The 25,267-nt window shown below is 48.7% G+C and overlaps 1 long non-coding RNA gene across 1 annotated transcript, besides 13 other annotated features; it reads left to right on the plus strand.

Moving 5' to 3' along the window:
* The first annotated feature begins 9,521 nt into the window (after positions 1 to 9,521).
* Positions 9,522 to 10,952, plus strand: LOC105378342 (uncharacterized). Its single transcript, XR_946030.3, has 2 exons — positions 9,522 to 9,679; positions 10,780 to 10,952. It is a non-coding gene; the product is annotated as an uncharacterized LOC105378342 (long non-coding RNA).
* Positions 10,085 to 10,379: an enhancer, noted in NCBI's record as "tiled region #5024; K562 Activating DNase matched - State 8:EnhW". NCBI's record gives its function as "activates a minimal TATA promoter and a strong SV40 promoter by Sharpr-MPRA in K562 cells {active_cell/tissue: K562}" and the evidence as "EXISTENCE:reporter gene assay evidence [ECO:0000049][PMID:27701403]".
* Positions 10,932 to 11,132: a silencer, noted in NCBI's record as "peak1005 fragment used in MPRA reporter construct". NCBI's record gives its function as "represses an SCP1 promoter by STARR-seq MPRAs in K562 erythroleukemia cells {active_cell/tissue: K562}" and the evidence as "EXISTENCE:reporter gene assay evidence [ECO:0000049][PMID:32103011]".
* Positions 13,253 to 13,382: an enhancer, noted in NCBI's record as "active region_3475". NCBI's record gives its function as "activates an Ori minimal core promoter by ATAC-STARR-seq in GM12878 lymphoblastoid cells {active_cell/tissue: GM12878}" and the evidence as "EXISTENCE:reporter gene assay evidence [ECO:0000049][PMID:35858748]".
* Positions 14,193 to 14,322: an enhancer, noted in NCBI's record as "active region_3476". NCBI's record gives its function as "activates an Ori minimal core promoter by ATAC-STARR-seq in GM12878 lymphoblastoid cells {active_cell/tissue: GM12878}" and the evidence as "EXISTENCE:reporter gene assay evidence [ECO:0000049][PMID:35858748]".
* Positions 14,463 to 14,572: an enhancer, noted in NCBI's record as "active region_3477". NCBI's record gives its function as "activates an Ori minimal core promoter by ATAC-STARR-seq in GM12878 lymphoblastoid cells {active_cell/tissue: GM12878}" and the evidence as "EXISTENCE:reporter gene assay evidence [ECO:0000049][PMID:35858748]".
* Positions 14,693 to 15,194: an enhancer, noted in NCBI's record as "H3K4me1 hESC enhancer chr10:70812477-70812978 (GRCh37/hg19 assembly coordinates)". NCBI's record gives its function as "activates a minimal SCP1, AML or CMV promoter by ChIP-STARR-seq in naive H9 embryonic stem cells {active_cell/tissue: H9 hESC(naive)}" and the evidence as "EXISTENCE:reporter gene assay evidence [ECO:0000049][PMID:30033119]".
* Positions 15,195 to 15,694: an enhancer, noted in NCBI's record as "H3K4me1 hESC enhancer chr10:70812979-70813478 (GRCh37/hg19 assembly coordinates)". NCBI's record gives its function as "activates a minimal SCP1, AML or CMV promoter by ChIP-STARR-seq in primed H9 embryonic stem cells {active_cell/tissue: H9 hESC(primed)}" and the evidence as "EXISTENCE:reporter gene assay evidence [ECO:0000049][PMID:30033119]".
* Positions 15,824 to 15,983: an enhancer, noted in NCBI's record as "active region_3478". NCBI's record gives its function as "activates an Ori minimal core promoter by ATAC-STARR-seq in GM12878 lymphoblastoid cells {active_cell/tissue: GM12878}" and the evidence as "EXISTENCE:reporter gene assay evidence [ECO:0000049][PMID:35858748]".
* Positions 16,834 to 16,883: a silencer, noted in NCBI's record as "silent region_2426". NCBI's record gives its function as "represses an Ori minimal core promoter by ATAC-STARR-seq in GM12878 lymphoblastoid cells {active_cell/tissue: GM12878}" and the evidence as "EXISTENCE:reporter gene assay evidence [ECO:0000049][PMID:35858748]".
* Positions 18,543 to 18,692: an enhancer, noted in NCBI's record as "active region_3479". NCBI's record gives its function as "activates an Ori minimal core promoter by ATAC-STARR-seq in GM12878 lymphoblastoid cells {active_cell/tissue: GM12878}" and the evidence as "EXISTENCE:reporter gene assay evidence [ECO:0000049][PMID:35858748]".
* Positions 18,903 to 19,082: an enhancer, noted in NCBI's record as "active region_3480". NCBI's record gives its function as "activates an Ori minimal core promoter by ATAC-STARR-seq in GM12878 lymphoblastoid cells {active_cell/tissue: GM12878}" and the evidence as "EXISTENCE:reporter gene assay evidence [ECO:0000049][PMID:35858748]".
* Positions 19,493 to 19,692: an enhancer, noted in NCBI's record as "active region_3481". NCBI's record gives its function as "activates an Ori minimal core promoter by ATAC-STARR-seq in GM12878 lymphoblastoid cells {active_cell/tissue: GM12878}" and the evidence as "EXISTENCE:reporter gene assay evidence [ECO:0000049][PMID:35858748]".
* Positions 23,641 to 23,760: an enhancer, noted in NCBI's record as "active region_3482". NCBI's record gives its function as "activates an Ori minimal core promoter by ATAC-STARR-seq in GM12878 lymphoblastoid cells {active_cell/tissue: GM12878}" and the evidence as "EXISTENCE:reporter gene assay evidence [ECO:0000049][PMID:35858748]".

A 25,267-nucleotide genomic window follows, 5' to 3' on the forward strand; every position in this document is an offset into this window, starting at 1 on the left:
CTTATACTTTTAAAAATTATCAAATTTTGGGCCGGGCATGTTGGCTTATGCCTGTAATCCCAACACTTTGGGAGGCTGAGGCAGGAAGATCACTTGCATCCAGGAATTCCAGACCAGCCTGGAAAACATAGAGAGACCTCATCTCTACAAAATCAATCAATACATACATAAAAATTATTGAATTTTCTTTATGTGGGATATATCTACTGATGTTTGCCATGTTAGAAATTAAAACAATAATTTTATTTTATTTTTCTTGTTATTTATTTATTTTGAGACAGGGTCTGGCTCTGTCGCACAGGCTGGAGTGCAGCTGTGCTATCACAGCTCACTGCAGCCTCCAACTTCTGGGCTCAGGCAATCTTCCCGACTCAGCCTCCTGAGTAGCTGGGACTACAGGCATGCATCACCATGCCCAGCTAATTTTTTTGTATTTTTTTGTGGAGATGGAGTCTTGCCATGTTGTCCAGGATGGACTTGAACCTCTGGACTCAAGTGATCTGCCTGCCTTTGCCTCTCAAAGTGCTGAGATTACAGGCATGAGCCACTGTGCCTGGCTGAGAATAATTTTAAATGGCAATAATAAACCAATTACATGTTAACACGATTAATATATTTTATGACAAATAGCTATATAGTCTTTCTTTTCTTTTTTTTTTTTTGAGACAGAGTCTCACTCTATCACACAGGCTGTAGTGCAGTGGCGTGATCTCGGCTCACTGCAACCTCCATTTTCTGGGTCCAAGCGATTCTTAGGCCTCAGCCTTCCAAGTAGCTGGGATTACAGGCGCATGCCACGATGCCTGGCTAATTTTTCTATTTTTAGTAGAGACGGGGTTTCGCAATGTTGGCCAGGCTGGTCTTGAACTCCTGACCTCAAGTGATCTGCCTGCCTCGGCCTCCCATGCACAGGCATGAGCCACTGTGCCCAGCCCATATACATTCTAAAATTTTTAAAAATTACTGAGAAAAGTGGCATTATATTTTATAATCTTTTTCTTTCTTTCTTTCTTTCTTTCTTTCTTTCTTTCTTTCTTTCTTTCTTTCTTTCTTTCTTTCTTCCTTCCTTTCCTTCTTTCTTTCTTTCTTTCCTTCTTTCTTTCTTTTTTTGAGACAGTGTCTAGCTCTGTCGCCCAGGCTGGAGTGCAGTGGCGCAATCTTGGCTCACTGCAACCTCCACCTCCTGGGTTCAAGCAATTCTCCTGCCTCAGCCTCCCAAGTAGCTGAAATTACAGGCGCCTGCCACCACACCCAGCTAATTTTTGTATTTTTAGTAGAGAAGGGGTTTCACTGTGTTGGCCAGGCTGGTCTCGAACTCCTGACCTTGTGATCCACCCGCCTCAGCCTCCCAAAGTGCTGGGATTACAAGCGTGAGCCACTGCACCCGGCCTGTTTTATATTTTTTCAAGTCTCTTTGATGTCCGACTTAAGAGACAAGACAGCTTGCTGGATTTTCTTATCTGTCTCTTCATTCAAGCTATTTTGACACCACCGATCACAAAGCTTCTGAAACTCTACTGTACCCTTTTGAGAGAAAAAGACTAAAATAACATCTTAGTATTATTGTGAAAATAGTTTTGGCCTTATGAACACCCTGAGAAGGTCTTGGGGATCCCAAGGGTCCCCAGACTCACTGGAAAAACCCAGCTGTTCATTGGAAAGAGACCTGGATTTGAGTTCTGGCTATGTGGCTTTCTAGCTGTGTGACCTTGGGCAAATTATTTAACCATTCTGAGCTTCTTTTTTCTCCTCTGTAATGAAGCCCGTCTCATAGATTTGTGTTGAGGGTTAAATTAGACAATATTCGTGCCAGGTTCATGTTCAGCACTCAGTAGATGGGATTTGATCCTATTGTTATTGAGGTCTGGGGCTGGGGTGGGGGGGTGAATGGCAGTGTCATTGACAGTAATAGGGACATAAAGGGCCGGAGCTGGTGAGGGGGTAAGAAAAGTTCAGTTGGGTCGTGGTGAGCTAGAGCTGATGATGTGCCATCCAGGTGGAGCAGCTGGGCTAGAGCTCTGGGATTGGGTCTCAACTGGAGATCAAGATTTGTGAGTGGTAGGTTTTGAGGTAGAAATGAAGGATGTGAGGGCCAAGAATGTTAGCGCTGTGAGGGCAGGAAGGGTCTTGGAGCCCCGGGTCTAAGAACAGTGCCTGGCACAAAGTAGGTTCTTACTTATTTGCCTATATTTTTTAAGAGATAGAGGTCTTGTTCTGTTGCCCAGGCTGGAGTGCAGTGGTGCGATCAGATCACAGCTCACTGCAGCCTCCAATTCCTGGGCTTGATCAAACGATCCTCCCACCTCAGCCTAGTAGCTGGGACTACAGGCACGGGCCTCCAGCCTGGCTTATTTATTTATTTATTTTTGAGATGGGGTCTCGCTCTGTCACCCAGGCTGGAGTGCAGTGGCGCAATCTCGGCTCACTGTAAGCTCCCCCTCCCAGGTTCAAGGGATTCTCCTGCCTCAGCCTCCCGAGTAGCTGGGCTTACAGGTGCCCGCCACCATACCTGGCTAATTTTTGTATTTTTAGTAGAGACAGGGTTTCACCGTGTTGGCCGAGTTGGTCTCGAACTCCTAACCTCAGGTGATCCACCCTCCTCAGCCTCCCAAAGTGCTGGGATTACAGGTGTGAGCCACCGTGCCTGGCCTAATTTTTATTTTTATTTTGTTTTTAAAGACAGGGACTCACTATGTTGCCCAGGCTGGTCTTAAACTCCTGGCCTTAAGCAATCCCCCGCTGCCTCCATGTGTATCTGGGGTTACAGGCGTGAGCTAGGCCCTCAGTAACTGTTGAAGTGTAAATGAAATCAGGGAAAGAGAAAGACAACTAGTCCTGAGGCCATGGGTAGGAAGGGCGGGGTCTGAGACAAAGCTGTTCTGAGACTCACAGCGATGCCAATTTCCTCTGGAAACATTTGCTTTTAACCACCAGGGAATCCTTCCTGAAGCGTTTGCTTGAGACATCATCTTTTTTTTTTTTTTTTTTGAGGTAGGGTCTTGCTGTGTTGCCCAGGTTGGAGTGCAGTGGTATGATCATGGCTCACTGCAGCCTCAACCTCCTGAACTCAAGCAATCCCCCCACCTCAGCCTCCCAAGTAGCTGGAACTACAGGTGCGCACCACCGTGCCCAGCTAATTAATTTTTTTGGTAGAGATGAGGTCTTGCTATGTTGCCCAGGCTGGTCTGAAACTCCTGAACTCAAGCAATCCTCCTGCCTCAGCCTCCCAAATTGCTGGGATTACAGATGTGAGCCACTGTGCCCGGTCAAGACAGACACCCATCTTTTAAACTGGGACCACTTAACCAGCTCAACCATTTGATTTGGCTCAAGAGCTGGAGTTCAGAGAGAGGTGCCTGCTGTCCGCTGGTCCTTCAGGCACCGTTTCACATTTAGTCGTCCTTTTACACAGGTTACCTTGACCTTGAGTTGTCTTGTTTCACCTTGTGGAAGGGAGAGAAGGTGTGTGATTCTTGTGACTGGGACTTGTGGTAGACGTTCATCAATATTCAAGTCCTTCTTTACTGTCTCACAGAAGAATGAAGAGGAGCTGCAGGACAAGTTCCAACATCTCTTTTCCATCTTCATCCACTCCTGCCATGGGTGTGCAGAGGATGCACAGAGCGGCAGACCCTCTGCTCACCCTCCCCGTGGCCCAGTGCACTCCTGTTCTGGATACGCATGAAGCCCACTGTCTTGGAAGCAGCAGTGCACATGTCCCCATCATTCTTCCATCAAGCCTGGAATGGACTTTTTTTTTCGTTTTTTTGAGAAGGAGCCTTGCTTTGTCGCCCAGGCTGAAGTGCAGTGGCGTGATCTCGGCTCACTGCAACCTCCACCTCCCCATTTCAAGCAGTTCTCCTGCCTCAGCCTCCTGAGTAGCTGGGATTACAGGCGTCCGCCACCATGCCCAGCTAATTTTTGTGTTTTTAGTAGAGATGAGGTTTTACCAGGCTGGTCTTGAACTCCTGACCTAAGGTAATCCACCCACCTCAGCCTCCCAAAGTGCTGGGATTACAGGTGTGAGTCACCTCGCCCAGCTGGAATGGACATTTTTAAGGTGAGTATGATTTCAACAAAGTCATCCTTTCTCAATTTTAAATTTTGTTTCAGGTGTTTTAAGTCAATGTCAATGGTTGAAAACTATTGGATAGAGGAGATCTGGGAACTTACACAGACTGCACATGAATGCTTAGGGAAAGAATTCTCCTTTGTCCATGCTTTTGCTGTAAGCTGTGCTCTTTTGTGTTTAACCTCGTCATATACAACATGGACTGTCTGCCAAGGGCCTCTTGGTGATCTGCAAGGCGTTCTCAGATGGCTGTCTCTGAGGGCCTGGTCCCTCCTTTAGCTTGTCAAAGGACACAGAGATGGGTCACTGGAGCTGGCTCTCCTTGGGATACAATCCAGTCCCCTCAGCTAGGGCATTTGTATCACTGCCCTCGGGTGGAGCTCAACAGTGACCCCATGGTTAGGCCATCTGGAAACAGGCTGCTGACACCCGGGACTTCTGTGCTGCCAGGAAGAACAAGGCAGGAGGATGCGTCCCTGCACCCAGGCTGCCCTCCAAACCTGTGGAATGCAGCCCCTGGTCATAGAGGAGGCCCAACTGTTGCTGACACGTATGGGAATCCAGAGGCTGGGCTCCCCTTCATACAGCCAGGGCCCCACTCAGACCTGAGCCAACCCATCATATGCCAGATGGGACAGAGTGCTCACATGGGCCACTTGCCGGACCCTCTGACACTTTTAGGAAGCAGGTATTTTCACCATGGCCACACCCAATGCTAGTAAGTGCCTGTGATGGTTAATTTTATGTGTCAGCGTGGCTAGGCTCTGGTGCCCAGTTGTTGGTCAAACATTGTTCTAGATGTTGCTATGAGGGTATTTTTTTGAATGAGAGTAACATTTAAATAAGTAGACTCTGAGTAAAGCAGATTACCTCCCACAGTGTGGGTGGGCCTCACCCAATCAGTTGAAGGCCTTAAGAGAAAAGACTGAGGTCCCCCGAGGAGAAAAGAATTCGTCTCTAGACCACCTTAGGATTTAAGGCCACAACATAAACTTCTGCTAGAATTTCCAGCCTCCTGGCCTGCCCTGAAGATTTCAGACTTGCCTGACCAGATCATCGCATGAGCCGATTCCTTAAAGTCTCTCCTGCTGTTTTTCTGGAAAACCTGACTACTACAGTGCCTGAGGTGGGACCCGATTACCCCATTCTGCCTTCCAGCTGCTGGCGGTGCGTGTGTTTGCCCGGAAGGGTGATCCAGGGCTTCATCAGGCAAAGCATTGGGGATGGAAGTTCCGGCGACTCTCATGGCCTCGCCTGGTGAGGGGCACCCCTGGGGCAAACCCCGTTTCCTACTGATTCCATGTCAGCACTGCTTTTCCTGCTGGCAGAAATCAAATCAAGCCAGTTACCATGGCTCACACCTGTAATCCCAGCACTTTCAGAGGCCGAGGCGGGTGGACCACCTGAGGTCAGGAGTTCAAGACTAGCCTGGCCATCGTGACGAAACCCTGTCTCTACTAAAAATTAAAAAAAAAAAAAATAGCTTGGTGTGGTGGTGGACGCCTATAATTCCAGCTACTCGGGAGGCTGAGGCAGGAGAGTCATTTGAACCCGGAAGGCGGAGGCTGCAGTGAGCCGAGATCGTGCCACTGCACTCCAGCCCGGGCAACAGACAGAGACTGTCTCAAAGAAAAAAAAATGTTCCCGCCATCTAGGCATGAACTGTCTGCTGAAGCCCCTCAAATCTCCTGCCTTGCCCTGGATGGAGACCTGTTTTTATTTTGTTATTTCTGTCTATAAAAGCAGCTAGATTACTATGTCTTTCCTTTTTATTGAAATTTGAAAAACTGCACACCACTTATGTGAGCCACGTTATAATGGAAAAGGCAGGTGCCTCCAGAGGAGACACACAGGGCAGCATGTGTCTGCGTAATGTGTGTCATCAGAATACACGTGTGTGGGTTTTTGTCTAGCTCCCTTCATCTGCATGGCGCCAACAATGATTGTGAAGTATCTGTGAGCCATGAGTTCCTTTACTAATGCAGCACATGCTACTCAGGGCCTCCTCTGTGCCAGGCACCACACTGGGTTCCGGGGACCCAACAGGGAACAAGACACAGTCCCTGCCCACAGGGAATGTGCAGCCTAAGTGTCATCTCTGAGGCTGGGTTCGAAGGGAAGTGAGGAGCGTTAGAATTGGGGCCTGCAGCCTCTTAACTATTTGGCTATTTATCATTACAACGGGGCTCTATGAACCTAGTAATATTTTCTGTTTGAGTCAAAGACATTAGCATTTTTTAGAGCCAGCCAGCCGGAAGTGGGCTCTCCAACCTTCCCTCCACAGCTTCTCTGTGCATCTCACCGTGGCACCTTCACTTTCTGCCCCTACCATGTGATTTTGTAGATGTGGTGTCCACAGGCTGAGCTTTGGCCTCACCCAGACCTGGGATTGGGTCCCAGCCACACCATTTCTAGCCGTGTGATCTTGGCCTCACGACTTAGCCTCTCTCAGCTTCCCTTTCCTCATCTATAATACTAATTTGGGGGAAAATAATAGCTCTGTACTTTTATTGGTGGGGCTGTTAGGGAGATTAGTGAGATGATACATACCATAGTCCCTTGCATAAGTTTCAAATAATGTTACCTGCCACAGTCCCTTGCAAAAGTGCTAAAGGCAAGTCCCTTGCAAAAGTGCTAAATAAATGTTAACTTCCTTTTTTTAAGTTTTTTTTTTTTTTGAGACCAAGTCTCTCTGTCACCCAAGCTGGAGTGCAGTGGCATGATATCGGCTCACTGCAATCTTCACCTTCCTGGTTTGAATGATCTTCCTGCCTCAGCCTCCTGAGTAGCTGGGATTACAGGCACCTGCCACCACACCCAGCTAATTTTTGTATTTTTAGTAGAGACAGGGTTTCACCATGTTGGCCAGGCTGGTCTCAAATGTCTGACCTCAGGTGATCGGCCTGCCTCAGCCTCCCAAAGTGCTGGAATTACAGGGGTGAGCCACTGTGCCCAGCCATAAATGTTAACTTCTATAATATTATTTTTGTTATTGTTACTTATCTCCTTACTTATGTATTTTTCATTATTCAAGGGCAAGGACCATTTTTCCCCTTCTCCTCTTACCCTCCTCCTTGTTCTAAATAGGACTTATGGCAAATTTCAGCAAGTTGATGAGAAAAATAGAGGGAAAATGAAGATATAAACATAAAATGGAGCCAGCAGAGACTAATACAGAAAGTACATCCTTACTTTAGTGGGTCACAGGATTGGCTCTAAGCTTCCTAGCACCCAATGAGATGAAAGAAACTGAATTAGTTACATAATGTAACACTGTTGTCCATGAAATAAAACAAGCGAATAGCTCAGGAGAAACACACCTGGGCGACATTCTTTTTTTCCTTCTCACTTCCTTCTTGACCTTGTGATTCATTTTGCTGAAGGGAAGACCATTTGTTGGAAAGTGTTTCTGAATGCGATGGGAGTCCTGGCCCTTGGTAGAGGCCCACCCCTCGCTGTCTTCAGCTGATCTGTTAGTAATAGAGAAGATCTAGTTCCTGGCCCAGAGAACTGATCCTGCAATAGGGCTGTGTTTTTGAAACCAAAAGCGTCATACAGATAACAAAGGAGATGTGTCTCACTGTGGTTAGGCTATTTTGTAGCAACACTTGTTTCCACTCTTTTGCAATTTCAGGTTCTGTCAGACTTGATCTAAACATGAATGTGCAAGTCCAGTGCTCAGGCTGATATAACCACTGTCTGGGCCCTGAGTTGATTTGAATTTCCACTTCCAATCTGTGGTGCAACGTATGTAACACAGCAAATCAGTAAGGCTTTATCAAGCACTTTCTTTGTGCAAGGCCCCTGTCCCAGGCCCTGCCTGGGAACCTTGCTTCCAGCTTGAGGTAATGGGGGTCAAGAAGGAGGGGCAGGTAACCCTGGTTTTGAGAACTCAGGAGGGAGCTTGTAAACTCAGGAAGCTAGAGAGGCCTGGAAACTTCATGGTGGAGGTAGGACTTGAAGGATGAGGGGGGTAGGAAGGAGAAGAGGCTGTGCATGATGAGAAGGACTCCAGCTGCCACGGTCCAGTGGTGTTCAGACTCCAGGAAGAGCCTGACCTACTTGGAGTGGAGGGGAGGAGAGAGGGAGGGTGTGGACGTCAGGATGTCCTGGAGCCCAAGGCTGCTACAGCTGCTCCCTGCTCCCCACATCAGCTACCTGACATGGGAGTCAGGGAAATCCTTGCTCCTCCTGTTGCCCACCTCAGGGGATCCTAGAGAAGAATCCAATATGAGACTTTTTTTTTTTGGTGAGACAGAGTTTCGCTCTGTTACCCAGGCTGGAGTGCAATGGCACGATCTTGGTTCACTGCAACCTCTGCCTCCCGAGTTCAAGTGATTCTCCTGCCTCAGCCTCCTGAGTAGCTGGGATTACAGGCATGTGCCACCATGTCTGCTTAATTTTTGTATTTTTAGTAGAGATGGGATTTCACCATTATGGCCAGGCTGGTCTTGAACTCCTGACCTCAAGTGTTCCACCCACCTCGGCCTCCCAAAGTGCTGGGATTCCAAGTGTGAGCCAATGTGCCCAGTCCAATATGAGACTTTTTGAAACAATTTGCTACTTAGGGATTTATGAACATTAAAATATATATCATCTGGCCAGGTGTGGTGGCTCACATGTGTAATCCTAGCACTTTTGGAGCCAAGATGGGAGGATCACTTGAGCCCAGGAGTTCGAGCTCAGCCTGGGCAATAGCTGCTAAGTGTGGTGAAACGCCATCTCTACAAAAAATACAAAAATTAGACAGGTGTGACGGTGCATGCCTGTAGACTCAGCTACTCTGAAGGCTAAGATAGGAAGATCGCTTGAGTTTGGGAGGCGGAGGTTGCAGTGAGCCGCGATTGTACCACTGCACTCCAACCTGAGTGACAGAGAGAGACTCTGCCTCAAAAAAAAAATCATCTCTAAGTGAGTGTGGCTAGTGGTCAACATTCACATTTCTGTCCAATGGAAATTGCTAGATCCCAGCTGCTAGCTTTGTAGAAAACCTGCAGGTCAGCATTGCATTCCAGGTTTGCAGGTAGAACTAGACCATGACCTTCACTTGGGATCATGTCAAGATCCTAAAATTGGTTGCAGAAATATTTCTTTTTCCATCCGTTGAAGAAAATAACTCTACTGTGGTTATCTTTATTTTGGCATCTTGGGAGAAACTTAAGGAAGAATGTTGACCCCAAATGTGCTGGTATCTGAAACATTTGGTTACTCTTCAAACCACTAGATCACATGTCCCTGATAGATGGTGGGGCCACTGAGGAGGAGTCTGGGGGCATGGGGAGCAGGCAGAAGGGGGGCCCAGTGGGCTGGCATCTGTGAGGACAAGAGCAGGGCTCTTGCGTCTGTGAGTTGTTTAACCTCATCTCTCTATTCTGCATATAAGGGGATGGAGACTCAAGAAGTTAAAGAAAATTTACCCAAGGTCACAGAGCTAGAAAGTGGCAGGAGTCCGGCTTCAAAATTCAGATGACTACACACCCCAGTTCCCTCTCAGCCAGGCCACCTTCCTTAGAGAACAACCAAACCCACACCAAAAGGTGAACACAAGCTGAATCACCAGGACTCATCAGCAGCGAGGCTTCCTTGGTCCTTTCCCTAGAAATTCAGGTTAGTGGCTCTGGGGCCTGGGCACCTGGGTTTCCACCCTCTCCCCTCTCCCCAGGTGATTCTCAGGACCAGCCAGATCCTGGGACCACCTTGTAAAGAGCCTTCACTCTAGGTCCCTAGAGACCTAGATGGAGTTTCACTCTTGTTGCCCAGGCTGGAGTGCAATGGCGTGATCTCGGCTCACTGCAACCTCTGTGTCCCGGGTTCAAGTGTTTCCGTGTCCCGTGCCTCAGCCTCTCAAGCAACTGGGATTACAGGCGCCTGCCACCACACCCGGCTAATTTTGTATTTTTAGTAGAGATGAGGTTTCTCCATGTTGGTCAGACTGGTCTCAAACTCCTGACCTCAGGTGATCCGCCTGCCTCAGCCTCCCAAAGTGCTGGGATTACAGGCATGAGCCACTGCGCTCGGCCTGGGATGAAGGATTTCTACTGGGAGCCTCTCTCTGAGTGGCAGGGTGGAAGCTCTGGCCAATGGTAGAGTCAGATGGGGAAGAGCAAGCAAGAGGAAGTTGTGTCCTTTCTGTGGAAACTTGAGAACTGAGTAGATGGCAGCATGTGTCACTCTCATAGGCGCAAGAAGCTGTGGAAACTGCTGCTTGCTGACTTCAGCTCCCCCACACCCTCCACCCTCCAGCTGCTGATGTCAACAAAGAATCTTAAGGCCGGGCACGGTGGTTCATGCCTGTAATCCCAGCACTTTGGGAGGCCGCGGTGGGTGGATCACTTGAGGTCAGGAGTTTGAGACCAGCCTAGCCAACATGGCTAAACCCCGTCTCTAGTAAAAACACAAAAATTAGCCAGACATGATGGCACATGCCTATAATTCCAGCTACTTGGGAGGCTGAGGCAGGAGAATCGCTTGAACCTGGGAGGCGGAGGTTGCAGTGAGCCAACATCGTGCCACTGCACTCAGCCTGGCGACAGAGCGAGACCCTGTCTCAAAAAAGAAAAAAAAAAAAAGAATCTTAGCTGCCCTCCAGGGCTGGGGGCAGTGAAGGGAACTGATTGAGTCCTGAGCAGGGGGCTTCAAGTGCAAGCTGTGCCTCAAAGCAACTGTGATCCCCTGAGTAAGACACCCTGCCCCTCCTCTGTCCACAGGCTCCTGTACTGAAAAAAATGAAGCAGCTGGAAGCAGTCTTGAGCCCATAAATCTGTACCCACTGCAGGGGTCCCGAACTTTTTGTGGGGGGCACACCCCTTTGAAAATCTAATAAAATGATCAACCCTCTCTTGGGGAAAAAAAGCAGACATCCAAATTTTGGCTGACAATTTCAGGGAAATGAATGGACTTCCCCAAGCTCATTCAGGAAGCTCTGGGGGTCACTGGCCTATGTTAAGCACTGCTGGTCTGTCCAGAAGCCTCTATGACTGCACCGTTCAGTGCTGCAGCCTCTCATCACATGAGGCCCTGAGCTTGTGCAGGGTGGCAAGTGTGAACTGAAAGGTGCTATAGACATGGAGTGCACACTGGATTTTGAAGACTTAATAGGAAAGAAGAACGTAAAATATCTCATGACTAATTTTTATACTAATTATATATTAAAAGATAAGTTGGGACTGGGCGCAGTGGCTCATGCTGGTAATCTCAGCACTTTGGGAGGCGGAGTGGGCGGATCACGAGGTCAAGAGCTCAACACCAGCCTGACCAACATGGTGAAACCCCGTCTCTACTAAAAATACAAAAAGTAGCCGTGCATGGTGGCACGTGCCTGTAATCCCAGCTACTCAGGAGGCTGAGGCAGGAGAATCGCTTGAACCTGGGAGGTGGAGGATGCAGTGAGCCGAGATCGCACCACTGCTCTCCAGCCTGGGTGACAGAGCGAGACTTGGTCTCGAAAAAAAAAGAGAAAAAGATAAGTTGGATATTTGGGGTCAAATAAAATATGTTATTAAAATTAATTTCACCTGTTTCTCTTTACTTTTTAAAAGTGTGGCTAGAACATTTGAAATGCAGTATGTGACCGGCATTATGTATGGACTGGTCCCCGCTGCTCTGTGATGACACCCTGGAGGCATGGCCTCATGGCCGGACCTCTAAAGTCAGTGTAGGCCCTTCACGGAAAGCCCAGCACTTCCTCTTTCTGGAAGTTGTAGTTAAGAGAATGGGCAGGGAAATCTTCACCAGAACAAGCTGTAAGTTGTGTTTTCCTGACAAGATCGCAAGCTCTAGCCAGGCACAGTGGCACGTGCCTAAAGTCTCAGCTACTGGGAAGGTTGAGGCAGGAGGATTATTTGAGCCCAGCAATCTGAGTCAGCAGTGAGCCACGACTGTGCCACTATAATCATGCATCTCAACTGAGCGAGACCCTTCATTTAAAAAAACAAAAATAAGCCCGGGCGCAGAGGCTCATGCCTGTAACCCCAGCATTTCGGGAGGCTGAGGTGGGTGGATCACAAGGTCAAGATATTGAGACCTTCCTGGCCAACATGGTGAAACCCTGTCTCTACTAAAAATACAAAAAATAGCTGGGCGTGGTGGTGTGTGCCTGTAGTCTCAGCTACTTGGGAGGCTGAGGCCGGAGAATCACTTGAACCCGGGAGGTGGAGGTTGCAGTGAGCTGAGATTGTGCCACTGCACTCCAGTCTGGTGACAGAGCAAGACTCCGTTTCAAAACAAAACAAACAAACAAACAAACAAACAAAAAGGCCTGGTGCGGTGGCTCACGCCTGTAATCCCAGCACTCTGGGAGGCCGAGGCAGGCGGATCACGAGGTCAGGAGATCGAGACCATCCTGGCTAACACGGTGAAACCCCGTCTCTACTAAAAATACAAAAAATTAGCCGGGCGTGGTGGCAGGCGCCTGTAGTCCCAGCTACTTAGGAGGCTGAGGCAGGAGAATGGCGTGAACCCGGGAGGCGGAGCTTGCAGTGAGCCGAGATAGCGCCACTGCACTGCAGCCTGGGCGACAGAGTGAGACTCCATCTCAAAAAAAAAAAAAAAAAAAAAAGTTGAAAGCTCCTAGCTGGATTTAGTGGTGCACACCTATAATCCCAGCTACTTGGGAGGCTGAGGCAGGAAGATCGCTTGAGTCTAGGAGTTGGAGTCTAGCCTGGGGAACATAGCAGGACCCCCATCTCTTAAAAAAAACTGGGGGTGGGGGCGCGAGGCGCGGTGGCTCATGCCTGTAATCCCAGCACTTTGGGAGGCTAAGGCTGGTGGATCATGAGATCAGGAGATCGAGACCATCCTGGCTAACACAGTGAAACCCCGTCTCTACTAAAAATACAAAAAAATAAAAATTAGCTGGGTGTGGTGGCACGCACCTGTAGTCCCAGCTACTTGGGAGGCTGAGGCAGGGGAATCACTTGAACCTGGGAGGGGAGGTTGCAGTGAGCCGAGATCGCACCACTGCACTCCCGCCTGGGCTACAGAGTGAGACGCCATCTCAAAAAAAAAAAAAAGGCACTTTTCTTGCAAAGACATGTCTAATGTGTAAGGCTTCTGGGTCCTCTCCAGGGATGGGCACCTGGCAGATGGAGTGACCGATCTTTGGCCACCTGTGGGACTGGAGCTCCAGGTAACATTGCTGTATTATATTCCTAGGGCTGATCCAACAAAGTGCCACAAACTGGATGGCTTACAGTGACATCCCTCACTGTTCTAGAGGCGAGAAGTCTGAAATCAAATTGCTGGCAGGGTCATGCTGCTGCTGAAGGCTCTGGGGGAGGCATGTCCTTTTCTCTTCCTGGCTTCTGGTGTTGCTGGCAATCTTCAGTGCTTCTCAGCTTGCAGATGCACTGCCCTCATCGTGGCCCCCGTGGTCACTTGATGTCATCTCTCTGTCTCACATCCTCTTCCTTCTGTGTTCAAATTTCCCTCTTGCTAACAAGTCATCAGCTATTGGATTAGGGCCCATCCTCATCCATTATTACCTCATTTTAACTTGATGACATCTGCAAATAGCCTATTTCCAAATAAGGTCACATTCTGAGGTTCCAGTACACATGAATTTTGGGGGGACACTGTTCAATCCAGTATGATTGATGAGTACATTTTGTGAGAAAGATACTTCCAAAGAGTTTGGGTAGAGCTTAGGTAATTTCTCCAGCATCTTCTAACCCCAAATAGGGACAGAACAGAGTGCTTATGTGTGCCAGGCAATGGTCTCGATGCCAGGGACACGATGATGGACATGACACAGTCTTTGCCCCCGCAGAGCTCAGATCCTAGTGATGGAGGCGGACAATCAATACGTGGATATCTGTCAGTATGTAATATGATATTGGGTTGTGTCAGCAGAGTAGAGGCATGGAGAGGAACAGGCCGGTAGAGGTGGTAGGCTATTTTCGATAGGAAAGAATGGCAGGGAAGACCACTGTCACCTGTGAGGTGACATTGAGTTGCAGAAGTAGTGATTTAGTGAGGAGAAAAAGCACCAAGCCCCTGAGGCAGGAATATGATTGGTAAGTTCAAAGCACACGGAAGGGGACAGATGATGTGTCTCACCCACCATGACCTGGGCTGGGAGCTGGGTATCAGGCCTCTTGGCCCAGAGCTGCTGGTCTGGAGTGGGGAAGGTGGTGGGGAGGAGATTTCTCCCGCTTCTGGTCAAGGGTTTCACTTCCTTCAGCCTTGCTTCCCCCATTGTTCAGCTGGGGTGGAGGCTGGTTACCCCTGGCTCTGGCTGGAGCAGTCCAGTGCCATTGTCATTGTCTTTTCCATACAATAAGAACAGAATTCCGTCCTTTCTTTGCTGCTGGCTTTAAACCTCCAGGTCCTAAAGCCCCTTCTCTCACTTCTTTGTTAATCTCAGGGTGTGCCTGAGGCTTTTCACTCTGCCTCCGCTTTCACCACTGCCTGGTGGCTGGTGCGTGGGCTTCTTACCTGGCTCCCTCCTTCACCTCCTGCGAGTCTTCCTTCTTGGATGAGCGCCCCGACCACCTTACTGAAGGAACATGCACTCCTCTCCCAGCTGCCTTTGTACCTTGCTCCTTTCCCCCACGGCATGCTGTAGAATTTCCTTAGGCATTATGTGTTGTTCTGGGTCTCTGTCACCCTCACTGCTATCTACTAGATTGTAAGCTCCACGAGGGCAAAGATGGGTACTTTTTGTTCATGGATATAGCCCAAGCACCTAGAGCAATGCCTGCCACACAGTAGGTACTCAAAAAGTATTTGCGGACTGAAATGAATAAACAAGTGAATGGGTTGTAGGGTAGAATCCTAAATGGCTGAACTGGAAGACTCGCACAGGAATTCCCCTGTGCTGCCCCTACGAGGGAACTGAGATGCAGAGAACAGAAAGGAATTCTTTAGAGAATCGGATGGGAGGCTGGACACAGAGCTTGCCCTCAGGAAATTTACACGAATTGGGGGTGGGGTGGGCAGTGCCACCTCCTTGCACAACTCCAGGGGGTGTCATTTTCATTGAACACAGTATAGGTGGTGCTCCTGGAGTGGTGCCTGGCCTGGGGGTGAGGTAGTTGAGGAGAGACTGTGGCCGGACCATGGTGTGGGGCTCAGAAGAGAGAGTGCAGGTGTGACAGCTCAAAGGGCCCAACCCAAGAAAGAACATCACCAGCCCAGGGCCAGGAAGGGTGTGGTGGAGGATGGGCACCACGGTCAACACACAGAGATCCAACACACACACTCCCAACACCATCTCTGGTGTTTTCTATGCCCAGCACAAGGCCTGGCCAACCCAGTAGGTGAAGTCGCCCAAGGTGCCCAGTAGGTGAAGTCTTTTATTCTTGTTGTTGTTTTGAGACAGGGTCTTGCTCTACCGCCCAGGGTGGAGTGTAGCAATGCTGTTTGCATTGGGCTGACTGAAGCCTCAATAGGGCTCACTGAATCCTCGATCTCCCAGGCTCAAGTGATCCTCCCACCTCAGCCTCCAGAATTTCTGGAACAACAGCTGCAGGCCACTACGCCTAGCTAATTTAAAAAATTTTTTTTTATAGAGACGAGATTTCACCATCTTGCCCAGGCTGGTCTTGAACTCCTGGACTCAAGCAATTCTCCCACCTCAGCCTCCCAAAGTGCTGGGATAACAGGCATGAGCCACCGTGCTGGGCCTAGGAGGTGAAGTCTTGATGAGGGGCTGTGATGGTCTGGCTTGGGAGCAGAGCTGAGGTTTGCTCTAGCACCTGGCCCTCTTGTCCAGTGGGGCTCACTCCTCTTGACTCTGTTCCCCTTGCTGCTGGCTCTTCACTTTGCTGCCTGATAGAATCTAAAATCCCCTGGGGAATTTTAGAAAACATGGGATGCGAGGGGAGTCAGGGGGCACATCCTCGGGGATTTCCATTCAGGTGGTGAGGAGCGGGACTGGACATCCCCTCACCACGTGATACTTGTGTTAGCCAGGCTTGAGAACCCCTGCTCTAGAAGCTGTCCCGGTGACATGGAAGGACCCGGGTAAAAGATTCATAACCCTGTAGTGTTATCCACACAACTGGTGGGTTCGGCCACTTGGTGGGTATCAGTTCAATGACCGCCACCAGAGAGGATGTAGCAAGGGGATTTTATGACTTGTAACAAGTCCCAAAGCAGTGTCCCCCTGAGCCGGGGACTGGGTCACGTTTTATAAGCATAGGGTAGTGATCCGACTGGATCCTGCCATGCAGTGCCTGCTTCTTCTTTTTTTTTTTTTTTTGAGATGGAGTCTCACTGTGTCACCCAGGTTGGAGTGCAGTGGCGCAATCTCAGCTCACTGCAACCTCCACCCACCAAGCTCAAGCAATTCTTTTTTTTTTTTTTTTTTTTGAGATGGAGTCTGGCTCCGTTGCCCAGTCTGGAGTGCAGTGGCGCAATCGCGGCTCACTGCAAGCTTCGCCTCCTGGGTTCACATCATTCTCCTGCCTCAGCCTCCTGAGTAGCTGGGACTACAGGTGCCCGCCACCACGCCCGGCTAACTTTTTATACTTTTAGTAGAGATGGGGTTTCACTGTGTTAGTCAGAATGGTCTCGATCTCCTGACTTCATGATTCCCCCGCCTCGGCCTTCCAGAGTGCTGGGATTACAGGCGTGAGCCACCAAGCCCAGCCTCAAGCGATTCTTGTGCTTCAGCTAGCTGGGATTACAGACAAGCACCACCACACCTGGCTACTTTTTGTATTTTTAGTAGAGACAGGGTTTTGCCATGTGAGCCAAGCTGGTCTCGAACTCCTGGCCTCCTGTGATCCACCCACCTCAGCCTCCCGAAGTGCTGGGATTACAGGCATGAGCCACCACGCCTGGCCCAGTGTCTGATTCTTCATTCAGCCCCCACTTGGGTTCCCCTGTGGTTGCAGGCTTGGTTCATCTGCGCATGCTCAGGTTTTGTGACCCGAGGGTCTGAGGCAACTGGGAAACAACTCACATCTTTGTTACATAAAAGCTCATTCTCAGTAAACTATCGCAAGAACAAAAAACCAAACACCGTATATTCTCACTCATAGGTGGGAATTGAACAATGAGATCACATGGACACAGGAAGGGGAATATCACACTCTGGGGACTGTGGTGGGGTGGGGGGAGGGGGGAGGGATAGCATTGGGAGATATACCTAATGCTAGATGACGAGTTAGTGGGTGCAGCGCACCAGCATGGCACATGTATACATATGTAACTAACCTGCACATTGTGCACATGTACCCTAAAACTTAAAGTATAAAAAAAAAAAAAAAAAAAAAAGCTGAACCAGATTGGTCTGATGCAGTTACAGTGGCTCCGCAGAGAGCATTCAAAAGAATTGATGAACTTGAATGGGAATAAATGACACCTTAATTTTCATGAACCTCCAACTGAAATTGAGTGTTTTCTTCCGTTATGAATGTAAATGTCAAACCACAGCAGTGTCAACAGTACCTGTGACTTTGTCACCCTAGAAATCAGATCTTCTCATATCATTTTATGGTTGTTGTGGGTATCTTGAAATATGATTTAAGCTCATCTGCACTTAAAAAGTAAGATGATTATTAGATTCCTCCTAGATTTTGTTATTTAATGCATTAATGAAGATGCACATATATCACCATATCACAAATTTTACAATATTTTTGGCTACTGGCATTCAACATAATTGTTTCAATAGAAATCCTATGTATCTTAGATTTTTTTCTTTTCTTTTTTTTTTGAGACGGAGTCTCGCTCTGTCGCCCAGGCTGGAGTGCAGTGGCATGATTTTGGCTCACTGCAACCTCTGCCTCCTGGGTTCATGCCATTCTCCTGCTTCAGCTTCCCAAGTAGCTGAGACTACAGTTGCCCGCCACCACACCTGGCTAATTTTTTGTATTTTTAGTAGAGATGGGGTTTCACCGTGTTAGCCAGGATGGTCTCAATCTCCTGACCTCGTGATCCACCCACCTCGGCCTCTCAAAGTGCTGGGATTACAGGCGTGAGCCACTGCACCCGGCTATGTTAGATGTATTTTAAGACAGCATTCTGAGAAGGGGGTCTGTAGGCTGGCCAGATGGCCAAAAGGGCCCCTGATCAAAGCAAAGATCTTCGGAAGGTAAAGAACATTCAGAGGAGGCTCCTTGTCCCCAGAGAAGGCAGAGTGGTATGTAGTGGACACAGTAACTCCCTCTCTCTTCCTGTGTGGCCTGCAGGCAAAGGTCACACCGCTCACGGTCAGGGCTGTCTCACTTCCGTTTGGGGTGAGAGCACCCCCTCACTTACTCGTTTCTCATTTTTTGGCAGAAGTGCCCCTTGGCCTCCCATGGCAGCCCTGGGGGAGGGCAATAGGGCTTTTTTCCAGCCTTGTTAACCCAAGGGGGAGGGGGCAACCCAAACAGTGAGGGAATGAGAAGAGCTTGGACTGGAGGAGAGCAGTTGTTCCTTGAGCCTCGACAGGTAGATGCTGACCGCCAGCTCCTTGCTGCCCCTCACAATTCCTTCCTGCCCTGATTGCTAGTGTTCCCGCCAGAGGAGGGACCTGGGAGACCCACTGATGCCTGCTGGCGCTCCTTTAGAGCCCTTCTGCAGCTCGGCAGACGCTTGGCCCCTGTGATCCAAGCCTGCCCCAGGCACAGTCCCCCACCCTCAGGGAGCTCACAGTCTGGCCAGGGGATCTGAGCCAAGAACTCAGAGTAGGAAGAGGTTTGCAGCTGGGGCCTGGTACAGGTGTGTAGAGCAAACCAGAAACAAATGGGTTAACTTCAGATGATGTTTCTACTCTCTCACACCCACCCTGGGTTGTCTGGTGCGTGGCTGAGCTGAGTCTTAAAGGCTAGATAGAGTCTTAGCTGCCCAACTCACAGCAGTACCCTTTGGATCCACCTGCCCCTGTGGGTGGGCACACATGCTGTGTGGGGCGTGCACAACAGTGACCAGTTGGCGAGAGGTGGTGGTGTCACCACAGGGGAACTTGACCTCCTGGCCCAGCAGCCTAAAACAGAGGTTGATTAAAGCAAAAAGAATCATAGTTGTGGATGGCTGGAGACCTGGGTGTCTGAGGAGATGTCTGAGGTGCGAGTGAGAGGTGCCTGAAGTAAACGACAGACCCAGGAAGTGTCTGCCGTGCTGCTCGGAGCCACGGAACAGGGCCCTTAGACTGGATCTTTTTTCCCTTGGAGTCCGGGAACTCTTTCAGCCCTCTGGCGAAAGCTGCAGAACCATCTCCTCAGGAAAATACACATGTATCATCCAAATTCTGTACCCCATTGTAGAGGTTCTCTTCCCCATGTTTGGAGGAGGAAGAGGCAAAGTTAGAGAGGTGGATGAATTTCCCACGATCGACGGCTCGGCAGCAGGGGGGCAGCAGAGCCAGGACCTCAGGTCCCTGGCAGGTTTAGTGTGCCACGCTTTCCCTTCCCCTTATTGTCTCCCTGGAGAGGAGGAAGTGGGCTGGGGCCGGCGGGAGCCCACATGCACTTCCAGTTCCACACCATGCTGGGGGAAACTAACTGGTAGATAAATAAACACGGGACAGCGCAGGTACAAAAGGCGGCAGAGGCCTTGGGTCCACCCCAGTTCTCACCCTCTCCCTGACTTCTTGATTCCAGTGCAAAAGATCAGCAGCTCTTCTCCCTGAGGCCTAACCTGTGACTTCCTCCTCCTGGGGAAGGTAGAAAGACTTGTCTTCTGGCCTGTTCTCTAAGACCTCCCTTTTCAAGCAATGGAAGCATTCAGAACTTTAACAAGAACCAACCACAGTGACCCCACAGTGTCTGTCCTCGCTGAAATCTGAAAGCAAAGTGGTCAGAGTCGTTTGTGCCCAGGCTTCCTGGAAGTGGTGTCTTCTCAGCACGAGTCGAGCAGCCCAGGACAGACTCTTCTCCCTGACTCCTCTTGGCTTTAGAGGAGAGACTGCTGGTGACAAAAGGAACCTACTGGAAATAAGTGGAGGATCACCCACAGTCTCCCAGCTGCCTCCACCTACAGATAAGGAGGAAAGGGTGGGGAATGTGCTTCTAGTGAGCTGAATCCCAGCCTGGACTCAGGGCTGATCCCCATCCCCAAAGGGCTCAGAAGTGATTCAGGCTGCAGGCATCCCAAGTTGAGGTTCAAGAGAGTTATGCCCAGGAGCCCTGGATTTTCTGAGTTGGTATTCATTTCATATATGTGGTTACCCTTTTGTTGTTGGGTCTCGGTTACTGATTTGAAAAAATTTGTCATTATTAAGGGTCTAGGGCACAGTCCTGGGGTGCCTGGTATGGGCAGGAGTTAGTGGTTTCCTTGCGAGTATATGGCTTTGAGAGTTCTGTCCCCAGCCTTCCCTGTTGCGGCTACACTGGTTTCTGTTAATATCACTTCACTGTGGACTTCACTATCATTCTTCTCTGTTTTCTGTTTTCCTTCTTGCCCAACTTTAGCAACCACCAAAGGGATGCCAACTCCTCGTACCTGCCTCCAATTTTTATTTCATGGTCAAATTTTACTAATTTGGAGCAAACACACGGACCAAATAGTGAAGAGTTTGTTCTTTTAAGTTTTCTTAAGTCATTAAGAGATACTCCCCAGCCAGGCATGGTGGCTCATACCTGTAATCCTAACACTTTGGGAGGCTGAGGCAGGAGGATCGCTTGAGCCCAGGAGTTTGAGACCAGCCTGGGCAACATGTCAAAAACCCATCTCTAAAAAAAAAAAAAAGAAATTAGCTGGGTGTGGTGGTGCATACCCGTAGTCTCAGCTATTTGGGAGGCTGAGGTGGGAGGATCACTTGAGTCCTGGGGCTGTGATCATGCCCCTGCACTCCAGCCTGGGGAACAGAATGAGACCCTGTCTCAAAAAAATAAAAAAAAAATAATAAATAAAATAAAGAAACTCCACCTTGGCCGGGCGCACTGGCTCACACCTGTAATCCCAGCACTTTGGGAGGCTGAGGCAGGCGGATCACCTGAGGTCAGGAGTTCAAGACCAGCCTGGCCAACATGGCGAAACGCCATCTCTACTAAAACATACAAAAATTAGCTGGGCACGGTGGTAGAACCTGTAATCCCAGCTACTCAGGAGGCTGAGGCAGGAGAATCACTTGAAGCTGGGAGGCAGAGATTACAGTGAGCTGAGATCGTGCCACTGCACTCCAGCCTGGGTGACAGAGCGAGACATCTCAAAAAAAAAAAAAAAAAAAGCCCCATTTTGATCTTTGCACAATTCATTTGCCCTATCTGAGGAGTATGCTAACTAAAGGTAAATTTCAGCTGCATCCCTGCCAAGAGGAGCAAGAATTTCCTGAGTCTTGGGTTATATCGGGGGACTCCTTTTCCACATAATTCTCCTGGTTTATAAGTGCCTCTGAAATAAAAAATAAAGATGAAGTGGGAGCTGCCACCACCTATTTTCATTTTATTATTACTATTATTATTATTATTATGTTTGAGACAAGGTCTCACTCTGTCACCCATGTTGGAGTACAATGGCATGACCATAGCTCACTGCAGCCTGGAACTCCTAGGCTCAAGTGATCCTCCCACCCTGGCCTTCCAAAGTGTTGGCATTACAGGTGTGAGCCACTGCGCCCAGCCCCATGGCCTCTTTTTTTTTTTTTTTTTATGTGAGACAGAGTCTCTTGTTGCCCAGGCTGAAGTGCAATGGCGCAATCTTGGCTCACTGCAACCTCTGCCTCCTGGTTTCAAGCAATTCTCCCGCCTCAGCCTCCCAAGTAGCTGAGACTACAGGCACCTGTCACTACGCGCGGCTAATTTTTTTGTATTTTAGTAGAGATAGGGTTTCACCATGTTGGTCAAACTGGTCTTGAACTCCTGACCTCAGGTGGTCCGCCCACCTCAGCCTCCCAAAGTGCTGGGATTACAGGCGTGAGCCACCGCGCCCAGTCCCATGGCCTTTTTTTAATACCCAAGAAAGCTCAGGGATAATAACACACCATGCCTCTTGAAATTGCCACAGAAAGAAAATGGAAAGCCACTTTTAAAAATAAAAAGGCTCAGGCCGGGCACGGTGGCTCACGCCTGTAATCCCAGCATTTTGGGAGTCCGAGGCGGGCAGATCACGAGGTCAGGAGATTGAGACCATCTTGGCTAACACGGTGAAACCCCGTCTCTACAAAAAAATACAAAAAATTAGCCGGGTGTGGTGGCACGCACCTGTAGTCCCAGCTGCTGAGGAGGCTGAGGCAGGAGAATCGCTTGAACCCGAGAGGTGGAGGTTGCAGTTAGCCAAGGTCGCGCCATTGTACTCCACCCTGGGCAACAAAGAGCAAGACTCCATCTCAAAATAAATAAATAAATAAATAAATAAATAAATAAATAAATAATAAAAAGGCTCAAGCCTGTAATTGCAACATTTTGGGAGGCTGAGGTGGGCAAACTGCTTGATCCAGGAGTTCGAGACCAGTCTGGGCAACATTGTGAGACCCTGTCTCTAGAAAAAATTAAATTAAAATATTAGCCAGGTGTATTGCTGGCATGTGTCTGCAGTCCCAGCTTCTTAAGAGGCTGAGGTGGGAGGCTCACTTGAGCTCAGGAGGTCCAGGCTGCAATGAAGTGCGATTGCACCACTGCACTCCAGCCTGGGCAACACAGCAAGATCCTGCCTCAAAAAAAAAAAAGAAAGGAAAATGAAAAAGAAAAGGCTGTGTGGGTTGGCATGCACTTGAAATCCCAGCTAATTGGGAGGATGAGGCAGGAAGACAGTTTGAGCCCAGGAGTAAAACCAGCCTGGGCAACATCATGAGACCCTGTCTCAAATAAAATAAAACAAAATGAAAAAAAAAAAAACAAGACACATTTTAAATCTTCAATAATCTTTAAAAATATGACTTTTAAGATTCTTGGTTAATGCAATAGAAAATTCAGTGATCCCCACCTTTTCTTTCTTTTTTTTTTTTTTTTGAGAATGGGGTCTCACTATATTGCCCAGGCAGGTTTTGAACTCCTGGGCTCAAGCTATCCTCCAGCCCTCTTTTTAATACAAATAAGCAACTCATCCTTAATAATAGTTTGCTTGAAGACAAGGCATCTTTTTTTTTTTTTTTGAGATGGAGTCTTGCTCTGTTGCCCAGGCTGGAGTGCAGTGGCATGATCTCAGCTCACTGCAGCCTCTGCCTCCCAGGTTCAAGCAATTCTTCTACCTCAGCCTCCTTAGTAGCTGGGATTACAGGTGCCCGCCACAACGCCTGGCTAAGTTTTGTATTTTTAATAGAGATGGCGTTTCACCATGTTGACCAGGCTGGTTTCAAACTCCTGACCTCAGGTGATCCGCTCTCCTCAGCCTCCCAAAGTGCTGGGATTACAGGCATGAGCCACTGCGCACAGTCTACAAGGCATCTTTCAAAAGCAAACATGTTATTCCTCACACACCTTCTGAAGATTAAACATGGGATGGACACTACTGATGTGTGGTGGGCTTTGTATGGCTCACTAAGTGGGAGGAATTTTTTTAATATCCTATGTCATAACTCTCAAAGAATGTGTTAAAGCCAACCCAGGAAATTTCTTAGGAACAGAGGTCAACTTGACGGTTGCAGTATTTCTCGGACTTGCGGCTGATGACAAGGCACAGCAGCCTGGGAATTACACAATCTCCGCTCTTACGCATTTCTTAATCATTCACTGGATACAGTTGCATGAATACTTTCTGTTCCTGTTCGAGTTTAGTAAAAATAGCAAAATAGAAGCGTCTATGGGGTTAGGAGAGGAAAAACACTCTAGCAGCAAATTCTGTTCCATTCGACCCAACGTACACGATAGTGATCAGAGGACGTCTCTGGAGAGCGTGTTTTCCTTTTGACCTTGTGTACTTCCTGTACTTCGCTGCCTCTGTGAGCGTGCTGCTCAGGCAGGGCTCTGGGTCCTCAGCAGCACCGAGGCAGCAGAAACACCAGGTATCCGGTGCCCACCACACCAGCAACTTCTGCAGGTCACTGCTGATCCCCACCAGGTCTGACGGGCGGCTGCTCCTCCTGCATTTCACAGATGATTGAAGGAGGCTCCCCAAGGAAGCTGTCCTGGTCAGGTGGTTACAGGTGGCAGAGCAGGTGTGATAGCCCCAGGGCTGTCTGGCTCCAGAGCCTGTCCTTTCTCAACCCTACCACCCTACTTTACGACTTTACCTCCACTTGTTTTTCTTGCCAAAAACTTTTAGCACTACAGGAGAAAGAAGGCCTAGCTTCAGGGCGCTCACAGTCTAGTGAAGGAGAAAAGATGAATATTTAAAAAGCATTTTCTTCTCTGTGCAATGAGGAGCCTGGCACTCTGTGCAATGAGGAGCCTGGCATTCAATTAGAATTAGGGATTCTAACTGAAGCATCAAACCAGATTAGCTCAATGCAGGATGTTGGAACAGAGCACTGTGGGAATTCTGCTTACTGTCAGAGTTTGTATATGGGTAGCCAGGCATGGGGAGGAGGTGGGAAACAGTGAAAGCTGGAGGGACCAGGATTCATACCCCAGAGTGATGGATAAGGTGTAGACAGTATAACAGCAACCTCGATAGCTTGTATTGATTTTGGACTTGCCAAAGCCAGGTTTGAAGTGCTTTCTAGGTTTTGATGCTTTGAATCCACCCTGTAAACCTTAAAGTAGGTACTATTACTCTGTCCATTTCCACGTGAATAGTGGAGACATAGGGAGGTTAGGGAAATTGTCCAGGCCCCCCAGCTAGTAAGTGGCCAGTACTCGAACATAGGCGGGCTGACTCCAAGCCCAAGTTCTTGATCACTGTACAAAGTAGAGGATAAGTTGGCAAATACTCTAATAGATTTTGCCATTATGCTTGTCAAATTTGTAATTATTTGCCTACTGTCTGTTTTCTCCTCTAACCTATGTCTCCAAGAGGGCAGGAACTATGTCTGTCTGGCTCTCAGAGGTAATTTCAGCACCTAGACTAGTGACTGGCACATAGAAGGGTCTCAAAAGTTTCGAAGAATGGATGAAATGCATTGAGGGAAACAGAGGATTCCTTTCCACGAGCAGTCCCCACCCTCTGAGTCCGCCATTCAAGAGCTGACGAATATGAGCAAACTCACTTCTCTCCCTCCCTTGTCATCAGCAAAATGGGGTTGATAACAGAAGTGAAGCTCCAGAAAATGGTCTGGAAGTTCCTAAAAAGTTAAAAAATAGAGTCACCATAGGACTCAGCAATTCCACTCCTGGGTGTTTACCCAGGAGAATTGAGAATACAGTTATGTCCACACAAAAACTTATGCAAGGATGTTCATAGCAGCATTATCCGTGATAGCCAAAAAGTGGAAACAACTCAAATGCC

The sequence above is a fragment of the Homo sapiens genome, chromosome 10 (genome assembly GCF_000001405.40).
Source record: "Homo sapiens chromosome 10, GRCh38.p14 Primary Assembly".
Classification (NCBI taxonomy): Eukaryota; Metazoa; Chordata; class Mammalia; order Primates; family Hominidae; genus Homo; species Homo sapiens.